This window comes from Homo sapiens, chromosome 11, assembly GCF_000001405.40.
Source record: "Homo sapiens chromosome 11, GRCh38.p14 Primary Assembly".
In the NCBI taxonomy this organism is placed as follows: domain Eukaryota; kingdom Metazoa; phylum Chordata; class Mammalia; order Primates; family Hominidae; genus Homo; species Homo sapiens.
This window is the reverse complement of record NC_000011.10, coordinates 60829410-60840327: the sequence shown is the minus strand read 5'-3', so window position 1 is coordinate 60840327 and position 10918 is coordinate 60829410. Positions and strand designations below refer to the sequence as shown.

Here is a 10918-nt window from a genome sequence, read left to right as displayed (position 1 = left end):
CAGAGGAGACTCCTGAAATTTTCAGAAGCGCCTGGTGTGGCGATCGCTGTTGGGACCCTGTCTCCTTACACTCCTTTGCTTTCTTTTAAAAATTATTATTATTTTTGAGACAGGGTCTTGCTCTGTTGTCCAGGCTGGAGTGCAGTGGCACAATCACAGCTCACTGCAGCCTTGACCTCCCAGGCCCCAGGGATCCTCCCACCTGAGTAGCTGGCACCACAGGCTCATGCCACCATGCCTGGCTATTTTTTTTTTTTTGTAGAAACGGGGTCTCCCTGTGTTGCTCAGGCTGGTCTTGAACTCCTGGGCTCAAGTGATCCTCCTGCCTCGGCCTCCTGAAGTGTTGGGATTACAGGCGTGAGCCACTGTGCCTGGCCACTCCTTTGCTTTTATTGCAGCTTTCTACATCACAGCTTTCTTGCCTTTAGGTGGTAGGATACTGAGGGGCTTCTCTGTAGCCCCCAGAGGCCACCAACAGGATTGAACTTGCATTGCCCACAAAGGTAATCTGCTCATGGACCCTCTTTTGGCTTCATCCCTGTCTCACTTCCCCACTTTCTTATAGATGCTTGCTGAGGTCATTCTCAGAGCAGACAAATATTGTACTTAATCCTCTTCTCAGAGTTGGCTTCTGCAGAAACCTAGCCTGAAACATTGGTGCCAGCAATGATTGGTCCAGGCATTGTTTCAAGTACTCTCCAAGTACAAATCCATTTCTTAATGCTTCTCCCAACAATCCTGTGAGGCAGGTGCAGTTGTTATTACTCCCAGTTTACAGATAAAGAAACTGAGAGGCTGGGTGCGCTGGCTCACACCTGTAGTAATCCCAGTACTTTGGGAGGCCAAGGTGGGCGGATCACTGGAGGCCAGGAGTTCAAGACCAGCCTGGCCAACATGATGAAACCCCATCTCTACTAAAAGTACAAAAATTAGCTGGGTGTGGTGGCAGGCGCCTCGAGTCCCAGCTACTCAGGAGGCTGAGGCAGGGGAATTGCTTGAACCTGGGAGGTAGAGGTTGCAGTGAACCAAGATCGTGCCACTGCACAGCAACCTGGGTGGCAGAGCAAGACTCTGTCTCAAAAAAAAAAAAAAAAAAAGACTGAGGCACAGAGAGGCTGAGACACTTGTAAAGGTCACACAGCAAATAAGTGGTAGAGGCAAGATCCACACCTAGACTGTCTGATTCCAGAGCCACAACTCTTAACAGTAAATCTGCCTGTTATCCAGGCAAGGAATCAGGCATGGGAAGGCTAAGGTGCTTGCCCAAAATCAGACAGCGGCACATTCAGGAGCCAGGATTGTGGTTCCAGAGGTGGCATGCTTAGCTGCCTTGCAGCTGCCCCCACATGGGCCTTGCTCACCTATTCGTCACACTGATTCTGGTCTGTGTGCTGGGAGGAGGTGGGTACCACCTGGCACACACCATCGTGCAGAATGTGCCGAATCAGCAATACCAGTTTATTTATGTAACCTGAGATCTGCTGACTGATGGAAACCAAGCGCTGGCAGATGGATGGAAGATAGGATCAGGTGTTCTCCTCTGAGTCATTGACCTCCCCCCAGCTAAGGGGTGCTACAGTTGAGAGGGTCTGACAGTCCCCAGATGTCAGAGACCTGGGTCCCCATGGCTTTCTGTTCAACACCTAGCCTTGCCTGAAATACTTCAGAGGGTGATCTCAGGTTTTCACCAGAGAGAGGGAGATGTGTTTTAGAGGAGGCCTTTGGGTGGCCCCCAGACACTTGGAGACACTTTGTCAACCTCAGCATCAGGTGGGCTCTGGCCCAGAACCCCCTACTCCCACCTGAGCTCAGTTTGTCATTGTCATTATACATGGTGTGCAGAGGCCCAGAGGAGACTCCTGAAATTTTCAGAAGAGCCTGGTGTGGTGGTGTACTTGCAGAGTGCTTGAAACAATGCCTGGACCAATCATTGCTTGCCCCGGTGTTTCAGGCTGTGTTTCTCCAGAAGCCAACTCTGAGAGAAGGGCAGGGAAAGGGCCCCTGGCGGTCATCAGCAGCATTAACTGAGCACTTACCACGCGCCAGACCTCTTCTGGGTGCTCCTGTGCTCCCCAGAGCTCCGGTTCGGGAGGGTGATTTTCAGCAGGAGCACGGTACTTGATATGTATTTGTTGAATGAATGGATCCTCATTAGGACCTTACAGGGCTGGGGTGATCATCCTCATTGTACTGACCAGGAAATCCCACTCCCAGAGAGGCTGCGCTTCGGGGCCAGGGTGACACAAAAAGGGCGCAGGGTGAGGTCTGGAGCTCAGGGCTTCTTGACTCTAAGCCCTAAACCTCCACCTCCACCAGGCCTAGGACTGGGACATGGGGCTGACTCAGTCTGGGGTGTCATTGGCAACGAGGATGTTGCTGAGCATGGCAGGAGTGAAGGCAGGACCCAGATGGGCAGAGGTGCAACTGGGCCTCAGCTAATCTTCATTGTGCTACAAAGATCCAAGCTGCTCTGTCTTTTGCTCAAAGCTCTCTCAAGTATTTGAAGTCAGTTTTCTTGTAGCTTTTCCAGAATTGTCTTTTATCCAGGTTAAGCATCTCCTGTTCCTCCCATAACATGATAAGTCTTTGGGAAAGACACCAGTTCTCTACAATGCTTCCAGAATGTGGGGCCCAGAGCTCCTTGTGGCACTAAGGTTGACTGCCCCATGGACGGCTGAGTGGATTTGTCACCTCCCTACTCCATGATCTGTATCAGTGTGGTCAAGATCACATTCAAGCCACCCCATGGACATCTGATTGAAACCCTCAGTCTGGTTCCCGTGGCTGTCAGGCTCTCCTGCTCCCTACATCCCCTTGCTCTGATCTTGGACATGAACCGTTGGCTTTTTCGGATAGTGCAGGATTCTTCCTCTGTCCCTGTTGCATTTTGTTTTTACCTCTCTGGGAGCCCAACTCTCCTCTTTCAGTAGTTACCCCCACTTTCTCTTTTGCACGTGTGAAGAGCTGCTTCTAGGTACTTTGAATCAGGTGCCACTGAGAACGTGGAACACTACCAGGGTGATCGTGTGAGTTCTTACCGTGCATGCTTATCTCAGAGGCTCATCTATGCTGCGTGCTTCTAACAGCTCATTATCAGTTTCAGACCCTTGAGAGGAGGTGGGAAGAGACCTCAGGAGAGGGGTCAAGGGATGGGGGAGGATGGAGTGGTACTTGAAATCCCAGCTTGAGACCTCCCAGCTGCCCCTACGGGGCATTGCCAGGGTGCAGAGAAGCTGCCTGGCTGGGAGAGGCCCACTTTGCAAAGCTCTCATGTATCTGCCCCTGCTCAGGGCTGAGGAGAGCAGAGTTTATCTCCTGATCCTCTCACGGTATCTGCAGGTTCTGTTGAAACAGGAAGGGGCCAGACCTGCTACCCCAGGTCACCATGGGGAGGGGGAGGAGGAGACAAGACCTCCTCTCCCTCCTCAGGCCCCTGCCAGCCTCCATAGCATTTCTCCTGCTCCAAGGCAGGCCAAGAAGAGGTGGGGTGGGTTGGGTAATGAACACCTGAACCAGGTAGAAAGTCGTTAACTCAAGAAGGGGGCATGGCACCTCACCCCAGTGTGTCCAACAGTAGTGCTTTTCAAACGTCAGTGTTGGAATCATGGAGGGTATGTTAAAACACAGATTACTGGGCTCTGACCCCCCAAATTAAGATTCATGAATTTGCATTTCTTTCTTTCTTTTTTTTTTTTTTTGAGATGGAGTCTCACTCTGTCGCCCAGGCTGGAGTGCAGTGGTGTGATCTCGGCTCACTGCAACCTCTGCCTCCCGGGTTCAAGCGATTCTCCTGCCTTAGCCTCCCAAGTAGCTGGCACTCCAGGCATGCGCCACCATGCCAGCTAATTTTTGTAATTTTGGTAGAGACGGGGTTTCGCCGTGTTGGCCAGGATGGGTTCAAATTCCTGACCTCAGGTGATCCGCCCGCCTCGGCCTCCCAAAGTGCTGGGATTATAGGCGTGAGCCACCATGCCCAGACTGAATTCACATTTCTGACAAGCTCTCAGGTGATGCTGCTGCTACTGGTCCACAGACCACACTTTAAGGAGCAGTATCTGGTGGGAAGGAACGAGCAATGGAAGAAGAGCTTTCTTTCTTTGCCTTCTGTCTAGGGCAGGGGCTGAGTTCATCATACTATCATTCATTTGTACACCAAGTCTTTTTTGAATGTTTATGACAGGTGTCATGAAGAGGTACAACAGGGAAGAGGGCAATCATGGTCCCTGCCTTAGTGGATCTTACGGCATCTTGGGGGCACAGATAATAAACACCTGAATCTGAAAATTATCCTTTGAGGAAGGCTGAGCAAGAATTAATTCCCCCATTTTACAGGTGAGGAGATGGCATCTCAGAGAGGTTACCTGACTTGCTGAATGTTACCCACATGTTAAGTCACAGGACTTGAACTCAGGACTTCTCAACTCAGAATCTGGCCCCTATTCCCTGGCTATGAGCCATCTCAGCTTCATGGGGCTGCATTTAGATGGGAGAGCTATAGACCCCGTGCATATGTTGCCAGTGGGTGAAAGCTGCGGGCTTCATCCCTGTGTATGGAAGAAGAGCTTAGACAGACAGATGGGTAGGCACACATTTTTACATCCCATACATATGGACTCTCAGTTCCTAAGACCTGAAAAATCACAGTTTCATAGTGAGTCACTTCCCCTCCCTTCCTCTCTGTTCACTTATCCCTATTCTCTCATTTCCTCTAATATTTGGCTTCCTCTCTATTCACTTCTCCCTATTCTCTCATTTCCTCTAAAGCTCTAAGCCTTGCACAGTGCGAGATCTGCCTAAGTGATGGTCATCCCTTCCAATCAATATGGTGGCTTCATCTCAATGGCAACCCCTGGAAACCCTGCCTTGGTGACCAAGGAGGAGCATACCAGGAGCAAATTATGAGCAAATTATGAGATCAGCTTGGTTCCTGGTTTCTTGATTCCTTGCTTCCTGTTGACCACGTGATAGGGAAAATCTCTGCTTTCTCTACTGCTGAGTTTCTCTGACACTCTAGTGGTGATCAAAACCGGCCCCAAATCTGATTCAGCAGGCTCATACAATGCCAGGTTGGTGAGATGAGCCCTCCCCTGAATCAACAGTCTCCCTTCTCTGTTCTCATGGAGCAAACAGAACGTGAGCCCCCCAAGGACGGAGCAACTCCTGGACCCCACTGGATCAACAAGGCTCATTCTTCTGGATCTCCGATGCCATGGTGCATTCTTTCAAAGGGCAGTTATAGAAACAAGCAGATCATTTCCCCAAAAAGGCCCATTCCTGTGTTTACCAATTGAAAAGTATGTCACTTAGGGTAAGCTTTCAGGACATAAGAATGGTCAGCAGTCTTGATGAGAACACATTTTATTGCAGTTAATTAAACATCATAAAAATGGATCAGTTTCACTGGCAGTTTAAATGAGTGAGATTCTTTCCAGAGTAGCTACGAAGGCTTTGGCAGATATTACCCCATTTAATTCTCACAGTAACCCCATGAGGAAGTTAATATCGCTGCCCTATTTTTCAGAGGTGGAGAAACTTGCCCAGGGACAGGCAGCTGGTAAGTGGCACAGTGAGGGTTTAAATCTAGCACTCTGCTTCCAAAGTGTGTACAGTTTCACTCACACCGCTTTGTCTCTGTGTCTTAGGCACTTGACTAAATCAAGAATGAGTCTCCTCTCTAGCCCAGGCCTAATTTTTCTATTCTTTGAAAATAAGCCAGAAATTTCAGATCATTATGAATACCTTCTATACAGGGCAGGGGCTGATCAATTGAAGTGTTATTCTGCTGCTTTTTTTGTTCTCTGCTCCAAACCAAAGATTATACAACACTCAGATATTATCTTTTGCTTGAGTGGTTTTTGCTCTCTGCTTTCAAGATGACTCTGGGTAGATCGAGATATCCCACTTGTTTGGAAATTAGACACAGGTGGTGTAGGACATTGCGTTTTCCCAAGTTGGCCTCAAAAGTATCTCCTACCCGTATGTTTTTCTTACCATGTGACCTAGATGCCCCCTTCCCTCCAGTAGTGGGGTCTACAACCCCCCTGCACTTCAAACCTGCATGGATCTTTGTAATTGCCCTAGCCAAGTATGGCAGGCTGTTGCCATGTGACTTCTTCACGTTATTTTCAGAGACAGAGTCTTACTCTGTTGCCCAGCCTGGTGTGAACATAGCTCACTGTAGCCTCAAAATCCTGGGCTCAAGCGATCCTCCTGCCTTAGCCTCCTGAGTAACTGGGACTACAGGTGGACACTGCTACACTTGGATAATTATTATTATTATTATTATTTTGCAGAGGTCCTGCTATGGTCCTGCTATGTTACCCAAGGTGGTCTTGAACTCCTGGCCTCAAGCCATCCTCCTGCCTCGGCCTCCCAAAGTGCCAAGATTATAGGCATGAGCCACTGCACACCCAGCCTGCCGTGTGACATCTGAGGCTAGATTATAAGAATGCTATGAGCTTCCACCTGGCTTTCATGGACAGGATGCTAACTCTTGGAACTCACCTGCCATGTCGTGAGGAAGTCCAAATCATCCCACATGGAGAGGCCTGTGAAGGTGCTCTAGCTCACAGCCCAGCTGAGGTCCTGGCTGACAGCCTGCATCATCTGCCAGGTATGAGTGAAGATGCTTCCAGATGATTCTAGCTCCCACTCTCAACTTGGATTCTTCCCAGCAGAGGCTCCAGAAATCATAGAGCAGAGATCGCCTCTCCCTACTCTGCTTTGTCCAAGTTCTGGGCTATAAAATCTATGAGCATGGTAGCATGATTGTTTTACACCAGAAAGTTTTGGGGTAGTTTGTGACATAGCAACTGGTACAGAAATTATTTGCTAACAAGCAGGCATCTCTCTCAAGGGGGAAAGTCTTCTGGTTATCTTTGCACCCTTTTCTGGGGCAAATATGATTGGTAGGGATGATGCCCATCATAGCACCATTGCTTCATCAGAGGCCGTTTGGATCAATGAGCCCTTCCGTGTTCTTTAGTCACAATATGTTAATATATCTTACTTGTCCATTTCCCACTGACTAGAATATCAGTTCCCTATGATAAGTTTTTTCCCCTATTTTGTTTGTTCCTATATCCCCCAAACCCAAACTAGTACAGGTGCTCCTCACCTTATGATGGGGTTACCTCCCAATAAACCCGCCATAAAGTTGAAAAATCCTAAGTTGAACCATCTTAAGTTGAGGACCATCTGTGCTTGGTAGTTGCTCAATAAATAATTGTTGCAATAAAAAATTGTCGGATGAATGGTTATGAAACAAACATCTAGTGGGCAAAAGTTTTGATACTGATTTCTGGAGAGAATTTTGCTAACATTACCATGTTCTAGTTGTTATGATAATGTAAAATTACTTTCTGGATAAGGACAAGTTCACATTGTGGTGGTAATTTCTGGAGAATAATTGTTAAACGTTCCCACTTTTTCTTGAAATAACACAAAAGAATCATTAGGAAAGGTATAATGAGTGTTAGGGACACGTCAGGTCCATACTCAGGAGCTTGTTCAAGGAATTGGTACCTGGACACTCTCTAAAAGGATTTGATATCAGTCAACAAGGAAGAAGTGATTCGAGTAAACCTTCCTTTGTTGCCTGGCATATGCTGGGTATCATAGGGACCACAAAAAATGTAAGATGTAGATGCTGTCTTCAAACTGTGTTGAGTCTAGCTGGGGAGACATAAGATTGGAATCTATATACAGATAGCCCAGTAAGGCAAGCTAGGTCCAGTGGTGAAACTGATAGGGTTTCACCAGCTGAGGTCCCCAAGGGTGAGAGAATGTCAAAGAAGACTTCCTGGAGGAGGCAAGTTAAAGGGGATTATGGGTTGGGCAGGTGGACAGCTTCCTGATCCACTAATCAGAGGAACACTGAAACCACAGGGATCCATCAGAAATCTGCTGCCTGTTAACTCAGGTTTCCACCTGCAGCTTCTCACATAGCTGGTGGAAATGAAATTGGTGTCCCTTTTGCCAAAATAGACAATGCCCCTAAGTAGAAAGAAAAGCTACTCCTCCCCAGCACCAGCCTACCTCTGTGGGGGTATTTCTGCAATGTGCATTGCAAGTTGCTGCATCCACTGGCCAGTCTGGCTCTGAGATCAGCCAGCTGGCAGCCTCTGCAGTGGGCATGGCTGGGCAGCCTGAATTCTGAAACCAATTAATGCACTGCAAAGGACGGTTTACCAAGAAGGTATCTGCAAGCCTTAAAAAATATCTCCTAAAAAGTTGTCCACTTGTAGTCCCAGCTACTCGGGAGGCTGAGACTGGAGGATTGCTTGAGGCTATGAGTTTGAGGCTGTGGTGAGCTATGATTGCATCAATGCATACCAGCCTGGGCAACCAAGTGAAACACCGTTGCTGTAACCACAAGCGCCTGAAAACAAGCAATAAATATATCTAGAATAAGACTTGTTATTGCTTCTGCAGTAATTTCTGCTATTTACAAATGAGGGAGAGTGGGTGAGCAATGCTTTCCAGTTATGAGTCAGGGAAGAATCAGGAAAGACAATTCCAAAATCAGTTAGAGTCCTGTTGGTGCGTGTAATACATCTCCACTTTGAACATGAAGAAAGGGGGTTACGATTTGTATTAATGTGAAAATGGCTTCTTGCCATCCTCACTCAGTTGAAATGAGACATATTTGACTATCAATTTGGAAGACTGCCAAATTTTTAGCCTGCCCCAGGCATCCAAGTGTTTCTGATCCGTCCTCTAAGCAGGACTTGTGCCAGGCCACACAATCCTGTTGGTGATATAAGACTAAGAATTCATGTGGAATAACCTCGAAATGCCCCAAAGGCCATGAGTAGCTCCTGGAGTGAGGATAGCTCAGGGTAACCACAACTGGAGGAGCGGGTGTCAACGGAAGCCCAAAGGTACCAGCTTAGTGTCTCTGAACCATGACATTCCTGGCTGTTCCCTCCTTGACCAATTCTGTTCCATTCTGCAGATAAATATCTTTCTGAATGCAGCCTTGAGTGGAGCTGATCCTGCTGGTACCAGTAGCCTCAGCAGGTGCCCGCAAATATCTGAGACTGGTATCTGCCTGGCCAGGGCATTCATGAATTCTTTGCCCAGAGCAGGTGCTCAAGTTCAGTGCTCGATGCTACGCCGCCACCTGGTGGCCGTATGTTGCAAGTCTCTGGAGCTGCCTGCGTGTAGAGAGCCACTCTCCCAGGGTTTACAGGGATATAATTTATCCTCCAAACAGGAACATCTGTTTAGATGCGACACTGGTTGCAAACTAGGTCTATGCCACGGGGACATACGGTGACTGTTTTGGAGTCTCCCAGTTACTGGGATATGCATTCCGCCATAGGCTGTCATGTGACAGAGGTGGGAACCGGGAAGCGCTGCTCTGAATGTTTGTCAGTGGCTCGATAGTCCTCTTGCTCCTCCAGGGCGAGGTGTCTGGGTTGTGTCATTTCCTTCTGAATCAGTGCTATATGATTTGCTAATGTGAGGCCTTGGGCAAGGTATTCAATAAGGCAGCACTTTCAGGTGTCTTCTAGAAGCAGTCTCTATTCTAAGGTAGAGCTTTACATATTACATATATTAACTCATAGAGTCTTCACCACAACTCTATGAGGTGGGAATTAGCATTAGCCCCATTTTACATTTGAGGAAGTGGAGGTCCAGAGAGGTTAAGTAACTTGCCTAATATCACACAGCTAGGGAAGGAAAGAGCCGAGAGTCAAACCCAGACTGTCTGGCCCCTGCGTTGGCACTCTTGGCCATCATATCTTCTGGGACTCAGTTTTCTCATCTATACATAGACTATGTTCTTTCCAACATGTACATACTTATGATAAAGTTTAATTTATAAGTTAGGCTCAGTAAGAGATGAAAAATAATGGAATTAAAATATACTATAATAAAAGTTATATCACTTTGGGAGGCCGAGGTGGGCGGATCACTTGAGTTCAGGAGTTTGAGACCAACCTGGCCAACATAGCAAAACCCCGTCTCTACTAAAAATAATTTAAAAAGCCAGGCGTGGTGGCACGAGCCTGTAATTCCAGCTCCTTGGGAGTCTGAGTTAGGAGAATCACCTGAACCCGGGAAGTGGAGGTTGCAGTGAGCCGAGATCACACCACGGCACTCTAGCCTGGGCGACAGAGGGAGTCTCCATCTCAAAAAAAAAAAAAAAAGTTATGTAAATGTGGTCGCTCCAAATACAGTGTACTCAACTTTTTTTTTTTTTTTTTTTTTTGAGACAGAATCTCGCTCTGTTGCCCAGGCTGGAGTGCAGTGGCGTGATCTCGGCTCACTGGGAGCCTCTGCCTCCCAGGTTCAAGCGATTCTCATGCCTCAACCTCCCAAGTAACTGGGATTACAGGCATATGCCACCACACCCGGCTAATTTTTGTGTTTTTAGTAAAGATGGTGTTTCGCCGTATTAGCCAGGCTGGTCTTGAATTCCTGACCTCAGGTGATCCACCTGCCTTGGCCTCCCAAAGTGCTGGGATTACAGGCATGAGCCACTGCGTCCGGCCAGCTATTTCTGGATTGTGGTGGACCACGGATAACTGAAATCACAGAAAGTGGAACCTCACGTCAGGGGGGACTCCTGAATACATTCAGATTGCTTACTACCTGTATACTTGTCTGCACTGAAAATTTTTCCGAGAATTGCTTGGGTACCTTGGGTTGGGATGGAATACATTTTTCCCATTTGCATTCATGAAAGTATATTTCTTTTTTAGACAAAGTCTCACTTTATCACCTAGGCTGGAATGCAGTGGCGCGATCTTGGCTCACTGCAACCTCTGCCTCCCAGGTTCAAGCAATTCACGTGCCTCAGCCTTCTGAGTAGCTGGAATTACAGGCGTGCGCCACCATGCCTGGCTAACTTGTGTATTTTTTGTAGAGACGAGGTTTTGCCATGTAGGCCAGGCTGGTCTCGAATTCC

The 10918-nt window shown here is 47.8% G+C and overlaps 1 long non-coding RNA gene across 2 annotated transcripts in view; it reads left to right on the top strand.

Annotated features, from left to right (window-relative positions):
- The first annotated feature begins 4180 nt into the window (after positions 1–4180).
- Positions 4181–10918, top strand: part of LOC105369322 (uncharacterized) — a 43823-nt gene continuing 37085 nt past the window's right edge. Inside the window, exons 1-2 of one of the 2 annotated variants that reach the window (XR_001748241.2) lie at positions 4181–4332; positions 6294–8414. This is a non-coding gene — a long non-coding RNA (uncharacterized LOC105369322). Of the gene's footprint in view, positions 4333–6293; positions 8415–10918 lie in introns of those variants that run through there. The other variant, XR_950149.3, reaches the window with a different exon arrangement.